The 21,097-nt window shown below is 38.3% G+C and overlaps 1 long non-coding RNA gene across 2 annotated transcripts in view; it reads left to right on the top strand.

The window, feature by feature from the left end:
• Window positions 1-1,754: 1,754 nt before the first annotated feature.
• Window positions 1,755-21,097, top strand: part of LOC105377557 (uncharacterized) — an 88,225-nt gene continuing 68,882 nt past the window's right edge. For both annotated transcript variants that reach the window (XR_001741925.2, XR_007058380.1), the window contains exon 1: window positions 1,755-1,988. This is a non-coding gene — a long non-coding RNA (uncharacterized LOC105377557). The remainder of the gene's footprint in view (window positions 1,989-21,097) is intronic.

Here is a 21,097-nt window from a genome sequence, read left to right as displayed (position 1 = left end):
CAGATGCTTACTTTGTGCTTTCATGTACCAGGAAAGGTTTGGAGTGTTTTGCAAATATTGACTCTTTTTAATTTATTTTTATTCTTTTAGAGACAGGGTCTCACTTTGCCACCTAGGCTGAAGTGCAGTGACGCAATCATATTTCACTGCAGCCTTGAACTCCTGGGCTCAAGTGATCCTCCTGCCTCAGCTTCCTGAACTGCTGGGACTAAAGGCACTCGCCACCATGCCTTGCTAATTTAAAATATATATATATTTTAGAGATAGGGTCTTGCTATATTGCCCAGGCTGGTCTTGAACTCCTGGCCTCAAGTGATCCTCCCGCCTTGGCCTGCCAAAGTCCTGGGATTATAGGCATGAGTCATGCCACATGGCCCAAATATTGGCTCTTAGTCCTCACAGTAGCCTTCTGAGGTTGGAACTATTATTGTTACCCTCATTTTACAAATCAAAGCTCTGAGGCATAGAGCGGTGAAGCCACTTTCTCAAGGTTGCAGAGTTAGGATTCAACCAGGCAAGCTGTAGTCTTAACCAAATATTTTCAGCAGCATCAATTATGTGACACTGGCACTCAACCAAATATGTTTAGTAACAACCTTAAGAAAAGTGTTTTAAAGGAAAAGAAAACATTTTAGTCAGCCTTATATGGGAACTAACCACAATCCAAAAGTCTTATTTTAGCATATTATGTTTTGACATATTTTAGATAGCAAAACTTTGTTTATATCATTCTTACAGTGTCTGTGGGCAGATTTTTAACTGGAGTGATAAAAGTATAGCATGGGGGAAATGTCTTTAATTTTGGTGCTTTACATAAATTACCTGAATATATTTAAAAGGTACAGAGAGAGCATCCATCCTCTCTCAGCACCCTCTTAATTTGAGCTTTGAAGTGAGGAAACCTCATTAGCAAGCATTATATGCAGGTGTTTTCGGTGGTATTTACTAAAGAGTCTCCAGTTTCTAAACATTAAGAGAAACTTTAACATTCAACTATCAGAAGAATAATAAAATGCACAGCAACAGAAACCATTTTGACACTTTTATTGTTTGGAGCGTACGCCAAATGTTGGGACTTTGCAAATCAGTTTTTTTGTTACATAGTGAAGGCTGGAAGTGCCCAGGTGACAGTTTTCTGCCTGCAAAGTAAAAACCTAAATTGCAAAATCAACCATGCCTTCCTGATACAGGAAAGAGCTCTGACATACCTAGCCTTTTCATAGTGTTGTGAAATTTATTATTGCGGTGTTTAATTCTAGCTTTCTTTTGCCAAATTCTTGGTGGAAGAGATATTTTTTCCAATTTTTAAAAACTCAAACATATTAAGAAAAATAGCTTCTGAGCATGAGCCTTAATTTTGGAAAAAATAATAACTAAATAGTGACTAAATACAAAATAATTTCCGTTTGAGTGGTTCTTTCCATGCAAGAGAATGGGAGAATTAATTTTTCTATTTTAAAATAGAAAAGCAAGTTATCACCCGTTAATATTTTGGAGCAACATTCTTCCTCAGTTTCAGCCACCAGAGAGTGTATTCAAGTTGAGGCATGAAATCCACCATTTACTCCATCATTCCAAAAACGATTATTGTACAACTAATATGTTCCAGGAAGAGGGTTAAACCCTTCAAGACAGATAATGGTCAGAGATCTAAACAACTCACAGACTAGTGCAGGGAAAAGAGGAAATAAACACTAGCTCTCTAATTGAGGTAACGTGCTCAGAGTGTACATGAGAAAGTGACCTAGATTCTCAGACATCTAAGCTGGCTCCTAAAGAGAAGTAAGTAAAAGTTCATCAGATGAAGAATAGAAGGTGTTTTCTAGGTGGATGGAGGAAGAGATATTTACAAAGCCAGGAGGTGTGAGGGAACCTCACATTCAGGGGAAATGCAAGAATATATGGAGGACAAGAAGATGGAAAGAGAGGGCAGTCAGAAAAATCAGCAAGACAGAGAAATAACCAAGAGAAATGAGCAAAGCCCGACTGTGAGTAATCTATTATGATATATTAAGAAATGTGAATATTGTTTTGAAAATAATAGGCAACACACAATTCTATGCAGGAAAGTGACATGACTGGATTTGCTTTTTAAAAAGATCACTAGAACAGGATAAAGCAATGGGTCTCAGCCAGAGGCAATATTGCCCCTCAGGTGACATTTGGTCACAACTAGGGGAAGGGGATGTGCTCTAAGGAGCACACAGCAGGACGCTGCTAAATATCTTACAACGCAGAGGACAAGCCACCGTAACAAGGAATGATCCAGGCAAACACGTCAATTGTGCCAAGTTTGAGAAACCCTGGGGTGGTAGACAGAATAGGGGCCTCCAAAAAGTGTTCAAGTCCTAATTTCTGGAACCTATAAATATGTTTCCTCGCATGACACAAGGACTCTGCATGTGTGATTCAATTACAGATTTTGAGGTGGGGGATTATCCTGCATTGTCCTGGTGGGCTCAACGTAATCACAAGCGTCCTCATAAAAGGCAGGCAGGAGGGTCAAAGACAGAAAAGCTGACCGAAGACAGAGGCAGAGTTAGTGAAGGCGGGTGGTGATGCTATGCTGATGCCTTTGAAGAAGGGTGAAGAGGCCATCGTCCAGGGAACACTGATGACCTCGGCAAGCCAGAAAGGGCAAGGAAACCGATTCTCCCCCCGTTGACTCCAGAGGGAACTAGCCCTACTGATTCTTTGACTCCAGGCCAGTGAGGCTGATGTTGAGTTTTTGACCTCCAGGACAGTAAGAGAAAAAATCTGTTGTGTTGTAACCCACTGAATTTGTGATAATTTGTTACAGCAGCAATAGGAAACTAATATATCTGGTTTAGAGAGGAATAGATCAGAAGCAAATCCTGAAACAGGATACACAGTAAGGAGGTTTAACAGTGAGGAGTAACAATATTGCCAGGCACTTATCGTAGCACTGGAGCTAAAATAGCCATCAATACAGAAAATAATAGTAATAATAATACCCGCTCTCTTCAAGTATATAAGCTACTGAATCATATGGGTTTTTGTCGTACTCTAGAAAATAACCTCTTGTATAATGCTAATTTATTTTCCTCCTCCATCATATATTAGCTATTTTTTTCTATCTGAACATACATTTTTACTTTTGATTTATTCAGATTTATCAACATTTTATACCGTGATTTGTTCTTTCCCCCAAATCCAAGGTTATACCAATGTCATAAAAATGTCCTCATGCACAGTTTTAATAAACTTTATAGTTTTATTATGCTAAATTGATCATTGTTTCCAGTATTCACTTGCTTCCTCACAGCAGTTTTATTAATGCTATCATTGATGTGTCTTTCTCTAGAGGATAAGACTTCACCACACCGTTGTCAGGCCATTTGACTACCTTAGTCAATTGAATGTGAGTTCTTTTATCTGATCATAAATTTGTGAGTGAGAAATAAAATGTTTATTTTTAGGCCAGGCATGGTGGCTCATGCCTGTAATCCCAGAACTTTGGGAAGCCCAGGAGGGTGGATCACTTGAGGTCAGGAATTCGAGACCAGCCTGGCTAATCTGGTGAAACACTGTCTCTACTAAAAATACAAAAATTAGCTGGGCGTGGTGGTGGGTACCTGTAATTCCAGCTACTCAGGAGCCTGAGGCAGGAGAATCACTTGAACCCAGGAGGCAGAGGTTGCAGTGAGCCGAGATCGAGCCACTGCACTCCACCCTGGGCAACAGAGTGAGACTTGAGACTCTGACTCAAATAAATAAATAAATAAATAAATAAATAAATAAATAAATAAGACTCCATCTCAAAAAAAAAAAAAGTTTATTTTTGGAAGCCACTGAGACTTTGGAATGGTTTCTTATGCAGGAAACCTAAAAAACTTTGATTAAAACTTTTATGTTTACATTTAGGTCTTTTATCTATGATGCCATCGTTATATGCAGAATTCACAGTTATATATGTCTGTTCTTCCTCTTTAGTTTTGTTGGTCTATCTGTTCTTGCCCCACGTCAATACTATTTTTATTACGGTGGTATTATAATATGTCTTCATATCTTGGAAAGTGAGTTCCCACTTTTAGTCTTTCTTTTCAAAATTATATTAGCTTTCTATGAGTGTTTAAACTTCCAGGTTATATTTAGAATCAGTTTCATATTCCTCCTGAAATTCATCTGAGATTTTAATTATAAATACATTAAATTTATAGGTAAGTTTAAGAAAAAATTAATAGCTTTACAATGTTAATGTGTCTTCTTTTATTAAGGTCTCATTGGATTAAGTTTATTAATTTTATAAGTCTCTCTGTGAAGGTGGTGCTTTCTTTATTGGCTTAATTCCTAGTTATTTCATAGATTGATATATTCAGTGGCATATTATTTTCTATTGTATTTTTAATTTTTTTTATTGTGTAAGGCACTTGATTGCAGTGTGAAATGTGAACACTCAATTGGGGAAGAGAAAAACATATTAGCATTTCTGTATATTTAAATTTTTTTTATTTTTAAAAATATTTTAATTTTAAGGCAAGTAGTTCCTAATGGATTAATAACCTAGCTCTATACTTATAATAATATATAATATTTATGAGGCACTGACTTTGTACTATGAATATTTAAGTGCTTTTCAAGTATGATTCACTTAATCCTTGCAGCATCCCAAAGTGATAAGTATTATTATTGTTCTCATTTTACAGATGAGAAAGCTGAGGCTGAGAAGGGATACGTAACTTGCCTAAATTCATACAGATAATGACACAACCAAGATTTGAGTCTAGGCAATCTTGTCCTTGTTACACCCCCAATGGTTTCTTCTTGCCCGCTGTGCAGATAAAGCCAATGTATTGAGACAGCAGTGTTACAGCAGAGAAAGAGTTTAATTACTGCAAGGCAGTTGAGCAGAAGGATGGGAGATGTTTCTCATATTTGCCTCACCAACAACTTGGAGCCTAGGGTTTTTAAGGATAATTTGGTAGGCAAGGGGCTAGGGAATGGGTGCTGCTGATTGGTTGGGGATGAAATCATCAGAGCATCCAAATTGTCTTCTTGTGCTGAGTCAGTTTCTTGGTATGAATCATGGGTCCAGGTGGCATCACTTGGTCTGACTGAATGTAAAAGTCTGAAAAATATCTCAAAAACCAATCTATAGTAATGTTATCTATAGGAACAATTGGAGAAGTTACAAACCTAGTGACATCTAGCTACATGACTCCTGAACAGTAAGGAATTATAGAAAAGCAAGCTAGGGAGCAATAACTGCTTTTTATTTAAATATGCCCACATCTTTGCAGAATTCAGGTCCCTCCCATAACCCTAACCCTGTAGCCTTTCAGTGTTCTTCCAAAGGCAGTTTCTGTCCCCAGAGGGGGTCAGTTTTGGGAGGGACTATTATCATCCTTGCTTCAAAGTTAAACTGTAAACTACATTTCTTCCATAGTTACCTTGGCCTACACCCAGAAATGAGTGAGAGCAATTAGCTTCTGAGGTTAGAAGCAAGATGGAGTCAGTTAGATTAGATTTTTCTCACTGTTATAATTTTTGCAAAGGTAGTTTTACTCTTAGCCTCTGCATTATATTGCATGTGAAGTAGATAATTGTAGCTAATAAATAAATAAATAAATATCAGGGTCATAATAGGCTCATAAAATGAGTTGGCTTGCTTTTTAATTTTTTTTTCTTTTTGAGACAGAGTCTTACTCTGTCACCCAGGCTGGAGTGCAGTGGTGCAATCTCAGCTCACTGCAACCTCTGCCTCCCAGATTCAAGTGATTCTCCTTCCTTAGCCTTGGAATAGCTGGGATTACAGGCACTCGCCACCACATCCAGCTAATTTTTGTATTTTTATAGAGACAGAGTTTTACCATGTTGGCCAGGCTGGTCTTGAACTCCTGACCTCAAGTGATCCACTCAACTTGGCTTCCCAAAGTGCTGGGATTACAAGCATGAGCTACCATGCCCAGGCTGGCTTGCTTTTTAAAAATAAGGATTATATATTTTTCAAAGTTTTATTTTTATTTTATTTTATTTATTATTATTATTATTTTTGTAGAGACAGGATCTTGAGATGTTGCCCAGGCTGGTCTCAAACTCCTGGCTTCACATGATCTTCCTGCCTCAGTCTCACAAAGCACTAGAATTATAGGTATGAGCCACCATGCCAAGCCTAAAAGTTTTATGTATTAATTTTTAGAGGAACTAATATTTTGAGACTAGTGGTGTGGAAAAATACTATTAATTTTTAAAGTTTATCTTGTATCTAGAAATTTTACTTAACTCTTTTATTAGATACACTAATTTGGTCTTTCTTTTGGATTTTCTATGTAGAGATCATCTTAGCGTCTACAAACAATGGCAGTCTCATCTTTTCCTTTCCAATTCCTTTTTTTTTGAAGCAGGGTCTCACTCTGTCACCCAGGCTGGAGTGCAATGGCGCCATCTCGGCTCACTGCAACCTCCTCCTCCCAGGTTCAAGTGATTCTCCTGCCTCAGCCTCCCTAGTAGCTGGAATTACAGGCGCGCACCACCACAGTGGGCTAATTTTTGTATTTTTAGTAAAGACAGCATTTCACCATGTTGGCCAGGCTGGTCTTGAACGCCTGACCTCAGGTGTTCCACCCGCTTTGGCCTCCAGAGTGCTGGAATTATAGGCATAAGCCACAGTGCCCAGCCGTCCAATTCTTAAGGTCAGTAATTATTTTCTTTGTCTTGCTTTGTTGGCCAGGGCCTTCAGTAGTATGTTGAACTGTAGTTGAGATATACGGTATCTTTGTCTTGTTGAGTTCAAAATTTCTTCGGTAAGCACAAACTTTTTTTTCTTTTTCTTAAAAAATCAAATACTTTTTGTTTACTATAAATTGTTCTAAGTGACTTAGGATGAGTCCCCAAGTAGCCTCGGGTTGGGGCTGGTCACCAGAAAGACTAAGGTGAGGGTTAGAGGGCTAGAACCTTTGGCCTCACCCACTGACCTTTGGAAAGGGTCATGGAAATGAGATTAGGCTCCATGAAAACTCTTGAACAACAGAGATTTGATGAGCTTCTGGACTGGTGAACACATCCAGGCCCTGAGGGAGTGGTGTCAGGAGAGTGTGTGAAGCCTCTCTGCACCCCTCCCCAAGTACCTTACTCTGAGCTGTGCCCTTTATAATAAACCAGTAAATGTGAGTTACCTGCCTTCCTGAGTTCTGTGAGCCCTTCTAGAAAGCTATCAAACGTTAGGAGGAGGTCATGGGAATGCTTAACGTATAGCCATCAGAAAGTACAGGAGGCCTGGGACTTGCAACTGGCTTCTGGAGTTGGGGGCAGTCTTGAGGGACTGAGCCCTTAAACTGTGGGATCTGCTCTAACTCTAGGTAGTTAGTGTCAAAATGGAATTGAATTGTTGAACTCCCAGTTGGTGTCTGGAGAATCACACAATGTGTGGGAACAAACCCCACACATTTGGTGCCAAAAGTATTCTGTGGATAGAAACAGATCATAAGCCAAGTAAAGGACGTCTCATTTGCTCCCAGTTTTCCTAGTTTTTCTTTTGTTTTGTATTAAATAAGAGTAAAATTGTATTAAATGCTTTATCTACGTCTACTGAGATAATTAATTGTTCTCCTTTAGCCTACTACTATAATGAATTACATGATAGAGCTTTGATCAGGAAATGTTTCTAGCATTCCTAGAATAAACCCTATCTATTCACACTGTATTATTCTTAATACATTTTGAATTTATTTGGCTAATATTTTATTTAGTATTTTCCCATCTGTTTAGAAGTGAACTATTTTTCTTTTTCTTTTATATCGTCCTTATCCAATTTTAATATCAGGGTACTAGTTATATAAAGTGACAGGTACAATCTCTTTTTTTTTTTCTGGTTTTTTTTTTTTTTTTTGAGATGAAGTTTCACTCTTGTTGCCCAGGCCGGAGTGCAATGGCGCAATCTCAGTTCACTGCAACCTCCACCTCCTGGATTCAAGTGATTCTCCTGCCTCAGCCTCCTGAGTAGCTGGGATTACAGGCACCTGCCACCATGCCCGGCTAATTTTTTGTATTTTTAATAGAGACGAGGTTTCACCATGTTGGCCAGGCTGGTCTCAAACTCCTGACCTCAGGTGATCCGCCTGCCTTGGCCTCCCAGGGTGCTGGGATTACAGGCGTGAGCCAGCATTGCAGGCCTCTTTTCTTTTTCTGGAAGAGCTTTTTTAAGATGTAGATTATCTGCTTTTTAAAGTTTCATTTATCAAACTTAAAAAGGCCCCACTTCAACTAATTATCAGGTATTCAATTAGCAAGGGTGAAAAGGAGGGATGCCAAGCCTGTGTTATGGTATTCTCCAGAGGAAGCTGGTTTAGTCAGTTAAATATTTTCTGTAATTCATCATAAGATAGTGAACTTTAAAGCTTCACAGCAGAATTTTTAAATTCATAGTATTTGGGTGTTTTGGAAGGGATTAAGAACATTAGCACTTTTGTATATTGGCCTCATTTGATGTTGTTTTGATTGCCAACCATTTTGGAAGACAGTTTCCCCCCAAATTCCTGTCAGATTATTAATGCAAAAAATCAAAATAACTATGTCAACATAAGCTATGTTTTGATGGGCAAATTGAAAGACAAACAAGGATGAGATTCCAGAAGGCGATTACTGTAAAAATTAGATTGCTAATGAGGACTGCATTTGTTCCAGGGAGAAGAAATATCAAGCTAATCATTCTTTTCAAAAAAATTTTAAGAAATTAAAAAATTGTTTTTATTTTTATTTTGAGACAGGGCCTTGCTCTGTCACCCAGGCTGGAGTGCAGCGACACAATTGTAGTTCAATACAGTCTCAAACTCTCAGGCTCACCTCACCTCAGTCCTGAGGTGGGAGGATTGCTTGAGCCAGAGAGTTTGAAGCTGCATTGAACTATGATCAGCCTCCTGAGTAGCTGATGCTACATGCCACAATGCCTGGCTAATTGAAAAAAAACTGTGGATGGGGTCTCACTGTGTTTTTGAGGCTGATCTCAAACTTCTGGGCTCAGGCAATCCTCTCTCAGCCTCTCAAAGTGCTGGGATTATGAGCCACTGTGCCTGGCCTAATTATTCTTTAATAATCAGAATTTCTACTTGAGGCAAAGGGGCCACTATTATCTGCATTGATAGAGTCTGAATGTGGAGGAAGTGTTTAGTAAGGAATTCCTCTCAAGAAACAAAAACTGAGAACAGAAATATTACTAGATTTCATCACAGGCAGAGACTATTATTTTAGACCAAGGACCAAGAGTTTTGAAATCATTTTGCATGCAGATTCATTGTTGCTATTTTTAGTGATCGCCAGTTCACATCATGAATAGCTGGAAAACTCTTAAGAATAAACAACCTGCGTGCCTGTTTTTAGGGACAGCAAGCCATTTGGAGAAATGGAAGCAAGGGACAGAGCAGGAGGTGGCAGCTGAGAGGTAGAACAGACACTAAGTTAAGTCCTGGCTGCCACAAAGCAGAAGCGGGAACAGAAAAAGTCTTGTGCCTAAGAATGGACCTGGAGTTTTAAAAAACAGAAATGCTTGAATGATGTCTTTATGCCACATTATCTACTCTGTGGACGTTCCAAGTCAGCTTGATTGTTTTAAGGCATGAGTTGAAGCAAGGTAACACTGAAATTGATAGCTGTGCAATGACAGCAACAGATGGACTTTGCTAGCATGAAGTAATCAAAGGTGTGCAAAGTTTAAGCAAAATACTCAATCCTGAGCTTGACAGACCATATAGAAGCAGGTTATATCATTAACTAAAGGTCAGATATAAATATCGTGAGCTTGTTTAAGACAGTTGGGCACACTCTAGCCTTCTCAATCATATTTACACACTTGGGAGATAACTTGTCAGCTATATGTATATTTGTCCCTACCTATGTAACAGCACAAGTACAACTTTCAGGGGGTGACTGAATCCAGTCTATTGTATAATGTCTTAATGAGAACACAGTAGTTATAATGCACTAAAATGGATTTATATTCCTATGGAACAGAAAGTCAGTTTCAGCAGCCAAATAAAAGATCACTCACTTCTGGCCCAAAGTTTTAGTCAACCACCAAAATCAGCAGAAAAACTCAGATGTATAAAATGTGTAGATGTCTTGGAATCCATTTTTTAAAAAAGGTAAGAACGATATTTAGAAATTGTTCATCTTATGCAGATGGGGTTCATAGTTTAACCATTAAGCCTCAACAACGATTCCTTGGCATTTTTGATCTAATTATTATTGGCCTGTAACGACTTTGAACTACTGATTAAGCCACAATAGGTTCTATTTTGAATTTTTTATCTATTAGACTTGAACGGTTTATCTGTTCTAAACCTATGCAGCGTTTAAAATTCAAGACTTTTTGCTTACTTGCTAAATACTGACACTTAGTTTTTTTTCTGTTCCACTGGTTTCATTCATGAAGCAATTGGAAAATGCTAAGGGAGGGGTGTGTGTGTGTGTGTGTGTGTGTGTGTGTGTGTGCACGTACACAGACACGTTTTATAGTCCTTCAGGGATAATCACTCACCTTTGCAAAATATTCTAATTTAGATTAGCAAAGCTGAAAAATAGCCCATTCTTTTATTTATTAATGCTGCACTAGGGCATCCAGAGCCATATCCTAAATGCTGGAATTACTGTCTATCTTACATGTGGAAGTTTGCATCAGTAGACATTTATGTGACAGCTTGATTATAAAAGGTTTTGATTAATTCCTCAGCACATGCATGTTAGAACTTGATGCTGAGGTTGCGTGCTAATGTGAAAGGGATTAGCGCTGCAAATTTAAAACTCTCCTTAAGAAAAGTGTTAAGCATAACTTTAGCTCAGACAGAAAAGGCCAAGGCAGTTACAGAAAACATATTTGCAGAGATTCCAGATATGAAAATAATTTTGTAGAAATTTCGCCTTGGGAATGTCTTTCAAACTATGTAAGAAGTTGAATTGTTTTACAAAAGGGCAGTCAACAATGTTCTTCAGGATAGCCTGGACTTAATGTCTCATTTTAGAAAAAGTAGTGCTATTTCAAAGAAAGGGAAACACTACTCAGATGATTTCTGATTACCAAAATGCTGCATAATGGGGGAGAGTCCGCACTGAATTCTTTGCATGATAACATAGTAACCTTTAAAAAGTATTCTTCAGAGAAGCTATTCTAGAAGAGGGGAAAACGGACAAATGTAACTCACGCAGAAGTTTGAATTTGGCTTCTGATAGAGTCATGAATTTCCTTTCTTTTTTGGTATTAGTTAGAGATTATGTTCTGCTGACTATAACAGAGACATAACTTTGTTGGCTTAACCATGTAGGGGTTTCTTTTTCTCACATACAAAGTCTGGATATAGGTCAGTGAGATTGGTATAGTGGCTTCATGAGGTCGTCAACATCCTAGACGTAATTCATCTTTTGCTCCGTCCTCCTCATGATGACTTCCTGGTTGCCAGGTGTTATTCTTCATCACTAATCTCCTTTCTCTATTCCAGTCAGGAAGAATAAGAAAGTTATGAGGTGGGAGGGCAGGTGCCCATGTCAGGGAGACAAATCAGCACAGGAATTCCTGGCAGAGTTCAGCTAATTTCATTGACCAAACCATATATGGGTAGCCTTTGCTGAAACAGAGCCGGAGAAATAGGTGTGGGTTTTTGTTTTGGTTTTTGTTGCATCGCTAATAAAAATAAAATGAGGGTCCTTTTAAAAAAAACAGAAATAGGATTCTTTTAGTAAACACAAAAGAGGGAATGGTTATTGAGTGGCCAATCAACATGTTCCACCACATATTACTTCAAGATATTTAACAGCATCCATTCTGATTTTTGGCAGACGCCTGTGACATCCTGATTGTTAGTTATTTTTTACACAATACCTTCTCTCCTTATCTTGCTTAATTAGAAGTAGATTTTGTGCAAAATAGCTTTAGTGCACAGAGTTTACGTTCTCAGGAAATAATGACATCCTGAGAGCTTGTTGATGAAGAGTTTATTCTTTCACAGTGCTTCAGAACCAGAACAAAACCTTAATTATTTATGTATGCAGAAAGGCTAAGAAGGTGTGTTAGACTGGCAACACTGGGTAAGAAATCAAAAGTAAGTATGACATCATTCTTCATACGGCTGCCCTGAAAGTTAAACCTAAAGACGTACTACGTTAATACAAAAATACCTAAAGTAAAAGCTGGTGGAACTAATGACAGATACAGACCAGTCCAATGGAAATATGAACACCTTTTATCAAGGCATATCGTACAACCTCCAGGATAAACCATATGTTGGAAAATAAAACATACAAACGTCTTGATATTATAAACTATGTTAACTGATAACAGACTTAAATTAGAAATTAATAACACAAGCTATTTAGAAAAGCCAAGACATTTGAAAAGTAAAGAACTGCCTTTTAAATATCAGATGGGTCAAAGAAAACAATTACAATTAAATAAAAACTTAATTTGTGTGTAATTATAACAAAAATACAGCCTATGAAAATTTGAGGGATATTGCTAAAGCAGGACTTAAAAGAAAAATTCTAAAATTGAATAAGCAAAATGATTTAAGATCACTCTAAATTTCTACTTTCTTAAGAAGGTAGAAAAAGGCAAGCATTTAAACCCAAATATATAAAAAGACACAAAAACAATAAAGATAAGGGTGGAAATAAGAAATATAAAACAAGCAAGGGAGAAAATTGACAAAGCCAAAAGCTGGTTCTCTGAAAAGATGAATAAAACTGATAAAACTACAGCTAGATTGGTAAGTTCAAAAAAGTCAAAAAGAAAATAAAAACTACAACTTTCTGAAAAAATAGGAATTTTTGTTCAAATAATATGTATATTAAAAGGATAATAGTGGAATATTATGAACTTTTTGCCAATATGTATGACAATTTAAGATAAAATAGACAAACTCCTTGAAAAACACCAGTTATCAAAACTGATGCAATAGAAAATCTAAATAGCCCCATAATAACTGAGTTGAATTTATCCTTACAGTCTTTCCACAAATAAAACCTGAGTCTTTTTTTTTTTGAGATAGGGTCTTGCTCTGTTGCTTGTGCTGAACTGCAATAGCATGATCTCAGCTCATTGCAGCTTCAACCTCCTGGGCCAAAGTGAAGTCATCCTCCCACCCCAACCTCCCAAGTAGTTGGGACTACAGGAGTATGCCACCGCATCTGGCTAATTTTTTTAAGAGATGAAATCTCACTCTGTTGCCAGGCTGGTCTTGAACTCTGGGGCTCAAGCAATCCTCCTGCCTCAGCCTCCCAAAGGGCTGAGATTACAGGTGTCAGCCACCACAACTGGCCAAAGCTTGAGTCTTAAATGGCTTTATGAATTCTATCAAACATTTAAGAAAGAAAGCTAATTCTGTCAAACATTTAAGAAAGAAAGCTGGATTTCCTAGGCCAACTAAGAATCCCTAAGCCTAGCTGGGAAGGTGACCACATCCACCTTTAAACATGGGGCTTGCAACTTAGCTCACACCCGACCAGTCAGGTAGTAAAGAGAGCTCACTAAAATGCTAATTAGGCAAAAACAGGAGGTAAAGAAATAGCCAAACATCTATTGCCTGAGAGCACAGCGGGAGGGACAATGATCGGGATATAAAACCAAGCATTCGAGCTGGCAACGGCCACCCTCTTTGGGTCCCCTCTCTTTGTATTGGAGCTCTGGTTTCACTCTATTAAATCTTGCAACTTCAAAAAAAAAAAAAAGTAAGAAAGAATGCAAATCTTACATATAGTTTCACGTAAAATAAAAAAGGAGGTAATAATTTCCAATGTTTTTCTATGAGGTCTGTGTCAGGCTTAGGATTTGATTTTACCCTAGTTATAAACTGTTATCTAGCATGTTACTGTTTCATACAGTCTGGCAGAAGACAATGAGACTCAACCTTATCAACATATTTGTGTCTATTCACCTTGTTCTCCAGTCCCACAGGGGTGACACAAAAGGCCCGGATGGATGCCAATACATGAGATGTATTGCATGACAGGAGAGCGGTTCTGAGCTTGAAAAATCCACCAACTTGTATCTATCTGGTGATAAAGAAACCTGACTGACAATTAGGAAACATGGTTTTGGTTTTAGCTTAGCTATCGATGCATTCTCACCTAAGGACAAGCCATCTGTGTTTTGTGGTCTCAGGTTCATCATTCATGAAATCAGAAGGTTTGGACAAAGGATTTTTCAGGTCCTCTCATCTCCAACTCTAAGAAGAGTTTAATTCATGTCTATAAACATGAATTAAAGAGGTTTGATAAATATAGCTTTAAATTGTTTTATGTACTAGAACACCTTTCATTAGCATTTGGCCTGAAAATATCAATTCTTCCCCACCCTATGATTCATACATAATCCATGAATCTTAAACTTCCTGACAGTTTTATTTAGTATTTCAGATTTGTACTTCTCATTCTATAGCTTTCTTTTCACATCCATTTAAAAACTCTCCTGATGATGAGAATAAATCAAATAAATAATCCCAAGTGTTTATATGTGTATGCAAATGTCTAGCAAATATCGAGATATGTGTATACATGAATATGTATATGTATGTGCATATATATGTGTTTATGTGCATGTGTATATGCTGATAAATAATACTAGTACAATAACATTCCTTTTTTTTTTCAATTTAATGTGTAGCTTTGGTCTTTAAAAAGCTGACATTTTCTTCCTAGCTACTTTTGCTACTATTAGAACAGTGTCACCAGGTTACAGAGGAACATTGGTCATAGACATCAAACTAACAATCTGTGTTTTTTTCTTCTAAAATTCAGATTTTCTAACCATGAATTCTTCTGAATATTGACAATAAAAAGTGATATTTAGCTAACTAGAATCAAATACATATTTTTTACTTAAACCTTAATGTCTAAAGTTTAGGGAAACAAATGTCTCTTGTCAAATTCAGGATTTTTATTACTAGTTACTTTAATCCAGTTCAGACATTATTTATTGAATATACTGTAGAGTTAAGTCTACTGGACTCCAGCTTGAAACCAAAAGATATCTTCCCATCGATTATTTTAAAATTTTGTCCTCATGCACTTTTCAAATTGTGTTCCACGGAATATTTGAAAATAATACAAAAAAAGTATTTTTATGAAGCATTGGGTTAAAGTTTTAAAAAATAAAGTAGTTTCCTCTATGTGGACTTCTAAGGACCTTCATCCACTAGTGCTCATTGTGGACTTCCAAGGGGGAAAGTATGGAACATTGCTTCCCAAATCTATTCCATCACTGAAATTTATTTCAAGAAACACACTCTGCAAATGCTACTTGAGGCTCTTCAGCATTAAGCCTTGTGATAATTTTACACAGTTTACAGAAAGTCTGCCTAAATTTTAAAAGGCTCTTAATTTGTCCTTTTCCATATTGATCAGCGAAGGCATTGTGTTGCCTTGACCCCCCTGTAATTTCTTCTCATTCAGCTGGATAAGATAGAGAGACATTAAGGCTGTGGATAGGAGAACACTGGGCCTACTTAACAGGAGCTTGAAGCCACACAGGGACAGCCAGGTTTAAGTGGTTAAGTGGTTGAGCAGGCAGATAGTTAGACAGGCCAAGAAACTGGCAGAATCGAGGCTAGTGGTGATTGCCAGCTGTCAATGCAGACTTTTCCAGGAAGAGATTCAAGGCAAGATGAGCAGATAAGGCAGGGTTGAGGCTTAATCAAGTTAGGACTGGAATTGCAGAACTTGAGTCTCAGCACTCCACCACAGGGAGGAACTGAGTCTTAATTCCACTGGACACTTGATACAGATGCCTCTTTATTTTCTAACTCTGGTGTCTCAGATTGTCTTTCACCTGTTAGGTTCAGGTAGAATTATTTTGACTCTAAAAGACCAAGGGTCTTGAAGGCAATCTGCCTGAGTGGGCAACACTATATGTTGTGAGTAGATTTTGGCCTCAGATTGAGTCACCTGTAGAATGAGGAAGGGTGGATTCTTGGGGTCCTTGAACTTTACTTTGTTGTTTTCCTCCTAGGCAGACTCTTTTTACCATAATTTTGACAAAGTAAAAGCTCCCGTTAGGGCTTATCCTAAATTAGGTCCAAGCCTCTTGTATTTATACAGGCATACCTCAGAGATATTGCAGGATCGTTTCTGGACCACTGAAATAAGCCAATATAGTAATGAAGCAAGGCACAAGAATTTTTTGGTTTTCCAGGGCATATAAATGTTATGTTTACACTATACTGTCGTCTATTAAATGTGTAATCACATCCTGTTTTTTAAAAAATGTACATACCTTAATTTTCAAATACTTTATTGCTAAAGAACTCTAACAATCATCTGACCCTTCAACAAGTTGTAATCTGTTTGTTGCTCTTGGAGGATCTCGCCCCAGTATTGATAGCCACTGATTGATCAGGGTGGAGTTGCTGAAAGTTGGGGTGGTTGTGGCAATTTCTTAAAATAGGACAAAAATAAACTTTGTCACATCAGTGGACTCTCACAAAAGATTTCTGTGTAGCATGCAAAGCTGACAGCATTTCACCTACAGCAGAATTTCTTTAAAAACTGGAGGCCATCCTTTCAAACCCCACTGCCGCTTTACCAACTAAGTTATTCTAAATAACTTAGAATAAAGTTATGCTAATATTCTAAATCCTGTTATTTGAACAGTGTGTACAGCATCTTCACCAGGTGTTATTTTTATCTCAAGAAACCACTTTCTGGCCTGGCACAGTCGCTTATGCCTATAATCCCAGCACTTTGGGAGGCTGAGGCGGGTGGATCACTTGAGGTCAGGAGTTCGAGACCAGCCAGGCCAACATGCTGAAGACCCATCTCTACTAAAAATACTAAATTAGACAGGTGTGGTGGCAGACGCCTGTAGTCCCAGCTACCCAGGAAACTGAGATAGGAGAATCAATTACTTGAACCCAGGAGGTGGAGGCTGCAGTAAGCCAAGATCCCGCCGCTGCGCTCCAGCCTGGGTGGCAGAGAGAATCTGTCTAAAAAAACCCCAAAAACCACAAAGCAAAAACTTTCTTTGCTGATTCATAAAAAGTAACTTCTCATCTATTCAAGTTTTATTATGAGATTGCATCAATTCAGTCACACCTTCAAGCTCCATTTCTAATTCTAGTTCTCTCTTGCTATTTCCACCATATCTGCAGTTAATTTCTACATTGAAGTCTGGAACTCCTCAAAGTCATCCATGAGGGTTGGAGTCAACTTCTTCCAAACTGCTGTTATGCTGATATTTTGACCAACTCCCATGAAACATGCAAATTCTTAATGTATCTAAAATGGTGAATCCTTTCTAGAAGGTTTTCAATTGTCTCCTCTCAGATCCATCAGAGGAATTACTGTCTATTGCAGCTGTAGCCTTATAAAATATTTTTCTTAAATAGTAGGACTTCAAAGTTAAATTTATTTCCTGATCCGTGGGCTACAGAATGAATGCTGCATTAGCAGGCATGAAAACAACATTCACTTCCTAGTACATCTCCATCAGAGCTCTTAGGTGACCAGGTATATCGTTCAAAAGCAGTAGGAATCTTTTTCTTTTTTCTCAACAGTGGGTCTCAAAAGTGGGCTGAGGCCAGGTGCGGTGGCTCATGCCTGTCATCCCAGCACTTTGGGAGGCTGAGGAGGGTGGATCACCTGAGGTCAGGAGTTCAAGACCAGCCTGGTCAACACGGTGAAAACCTCTCTCTACTAAAAATACAAAAAGTTAGCCAGGCGTAGTGGCACATGCCTGTAGTCCCAGCTACTCGGGAGGCTGAGGCAGGAGTATCACTTGTACCCGGGAGGTGGAGGTTGCAGTGAGCGGAGATTGCACCACTGCACTCCAGCCTGGACAACAGAGTGAGATTCCATCTCGAAAACAAAACAAAACAAAAAAAACAGTTGGCTGAAAATACTGAGTAAATCATGCTGTAAACAGATGTGCTGTCATCTACATTTTCTTTTTCCAAGACAGACAGCCTGACACTTGAAACTTTGAAGCCAGGCCTTAACTTCTCTCTAGCTATGAAAGTCCTAGATAGCATCTTTTTCTAATAGAAGGCTGTTTCATTTACATTGAAAATAGGTTGTTTAGTGTAGTCACTTTCACCGATTATTTTAGCTAGATCTTCTGGATAACCTGCAGTAGCTTCTCCATCAGCACTTGCTGCTTCACCTTGCACTGTTATGTTATGGAGGTGACCTCTTTTCTCAGCTCTCATGAACCAACAACCTCCACTAGCTTCCAACTTTTCTTCTGCAGTTTCTTTACCTTTCTCAGCCTTCACAAAGTTGACTTAGGGTCTTGCTCAGGTTTAGACTTTGATTTAAGGGAATATTGCGGCTGGTTTGATCTATTCAGACCACTCAAAACTTTCTCCGAATCAGCAATAAAGCTGTTTTGCTTTCTTATCATTTGTGTGTTCACTAGAGTAGTATTTTTAATTTCCTTCAAGAACTTTTCATTTGCATTCACATATCTAACTATTTGGTGCAAGAGGCCTAGCTTTTGGCCTATTGCTGTTTTCAACATGCCTTTCTCACTAAGCTTAATCATTTCTAGCTTTTGATTTAAGATGAGAGGCATGTGACTCTTTCACTTGAACACTTAGAGGCCGTTGCAGGGTTATTTATTTGCCTAATTTCGATATTGTTTTTTCTTAAGGAATTGGAAAGCCCAAGGAGAGGGAGAGAGACGGTGGAATGGCCAGTGGGTGGAGCAGTCAGAACACACACAACATTTATTAAGTTTATTGTCTTATATGTGCACAATTTGTGGAGCCCTGAAACAATTACAATAGTGACTTCGAAGATCACTGGTCACCGATCACCATAACAGATATAATAATCACAAGAAAGTTTGAAATATTGTTAGAAGTACCAAAATGTGACATAAATTGAGCACATGCTGTTGGAAAAATGGCATTTATAGATTTGCTTTAACGCAGGGTTGCTACCAACCTTCAATTTGTAAAATAATGCAATATTTATCCAGGCATGGTGGTGCATGTCTGTAGTTTCAGCTAGTCCAGAGGCTGAGTCAGGAGGATCACCTTAGCCCAGGAGTTTGAGGCTTCAGTAAACTATGATTGTACCACTGCAATCCAGCCTGAGTGACAGAGTCAGACCTGGTCTCCAAAAAAAGAAGAAAAAGAAGAATAATGCATTATCTTTGAAGCACAATAAAGCAAAGCACAAAAATGAAATAGGCCTTTACTGGACATAATATTATGTTTGGCTTTGAGCTATAAAAATCCTGATGAATAGTAGCTTAAACACAGAAAGTGTTAATTTTTCTCATGAGCACTTTGGGGTAGAGATAGGTAGTCCAGGGCTGTTATCACTGAAGTTCTGCAAAATTATCAAGGATTCGAACTCCTTTTATTTCTCTACTCTGCCCTCCTCAGGGTGTTGCTGCCTTTGTGCTTGTTATGGTTTGAATGTTTGTGTACCCCCCAACATTTTTATGTTTGAATTTAATCTCCAATGTGATAGCATTAACAGGTGAGGCCTTTGGGAGATGATTAGCTCATGAGGGCTCTGCCCTTATAAATGGGCTTGCTGCCATTATAAAAGAGGTCTGAGGGAGGCTGTTTGCCCTTCTGCCATGTGAGAACTCGTAGAAGGTGCCATTGATGAGGAATGGGTCCTCACCACACATGGAGTCTGCTGGTGGTTGATCTCAGAGTTCCCAGCCTCCAGAATTGTGAGCAATACATTTCTGTGGTTTATAAATTGCTCAGTCTGGCATATTTTGTTATAGCAGTCCTAATGGATTAAGACAGTGCTCATGTTTGCAAGATGGCTGCCACCTCTCCAGGCCTTCTATTCCCATTCCAGGCAGAAAGAAAGGGATAGGTATGTAACCCTTTCCCACAAGACTCTGTCTTATCTTGAGAAGGATGCTGGCGCTAGGCATGTCTGTCTGTATCTTATTAGCCAAAACTGGCAACATAGCTTCCCTTAGCTGCAAAGGGATTTGTGAAAGTGAATATATTTACATATTACACATTAAGCTTGGAACGTTGATAATAACCTCCAACAAAATTGGAGTTCTATTATCCAGGAAGAAGGGGAGAAGAGATAGTGACAAGTGACAAGTTTCTGCCATATGCTCACTGTAGAAAAATTACAAAATGCAAAGAAGCACCTCTTGATTCTTTTAGTTCCATTGATTTCTTTATTCAGCCTTTTTCCCACTTTCTTCTGGTCAGGTCCTTATTTGAAAATAGAGCCTTTCCTGGCCTTCCCTCAGATAGTTAAAGCAACTTTCAAACTATGTCCTTAAATAAACTATGCTCTGGCTTTCTGATAAAAGTAACTTGCAGAAGACATTTTTTCCTAAAATTATTTAGTATCTCTAAGAAAAAAAAATTATCTTTAAGAAAAAAAATGTAAATAAGGTTGCAGGCCAGAAATTGAAAATCGTTTTATGACAGGCTGTTGACATTTTACTTGGGTCGCAAAACAGGCCATTTCCTGTCTTCTCAAAGCCCTACATTTCTCTCATCACTGCCCTGTAACCCAGTGAGTGGAAATATACTCAGTAAATGCCGCAAAGGCAGCAGCCTCCCCCTCCTAAGTGCATGACTTTTTGTTAATGGCCCTAGACACTGATTGCGGGACCTGGTTCTGTTCATCATTGTCATAATCACCATGGATTATTTTTTTTGAGTGCTCACAGGGGGCATGGCACTATACTCTGCATAATGTTTACTGCTCTATTTCTGCTTCCGAATCATTAGATGTTTTGTTCACACTGAGCTTATCTCTGATTGCAAGCAATACTGTCCACTGCTGTCAGCTACCTAAAGTTAAAGCCTTTTACACTGTGAACATCTCCTTAAGGAATCTGATGAAAAAGTGGTATACCACTTTTTGGCTATGTGTTTTCATCGTTAATGGATTTACTCAACACGCCTATTTGTAGGTATTCTTTTCTTTATTATATAGCTCAGCGATGACGTTGCTGAGTTCAAGCTTTGCCAGAACCATCAAGATTTGAAGGAAAAAGAGAGAGTCACTATGCATCAGTCCTGGGAATAGTACAAAATTGCTTTATATTTAAAGCTTAAGGTATCTGTCTGGAGGAATAATTAGTACAAACACTTTGTAGATGAAGCAGCTGATGCTAAAAGAGATTAGATTATTTGCCCAGGCTGGGCATGGTGGTTTA

This window comes from Homo sapiens, chromosome 4 (assembly GCF_000001405.40).
Source record: "Homo sapiens chromosome 4, GRCh38.p14 Primary Assembly".
Classification (NCBI taxonomy): domain Eukaryota; kingdom Metazoa; phylum Chordata; class Mammalia; order Primates; family Hominidae; genus Homo; species Homo sapiens.
The sequence above is the reverse complement of the archived record's forward strand: the minus strand, read 5'-3'. Positions and strand labels throughout refer to the sequence as shown.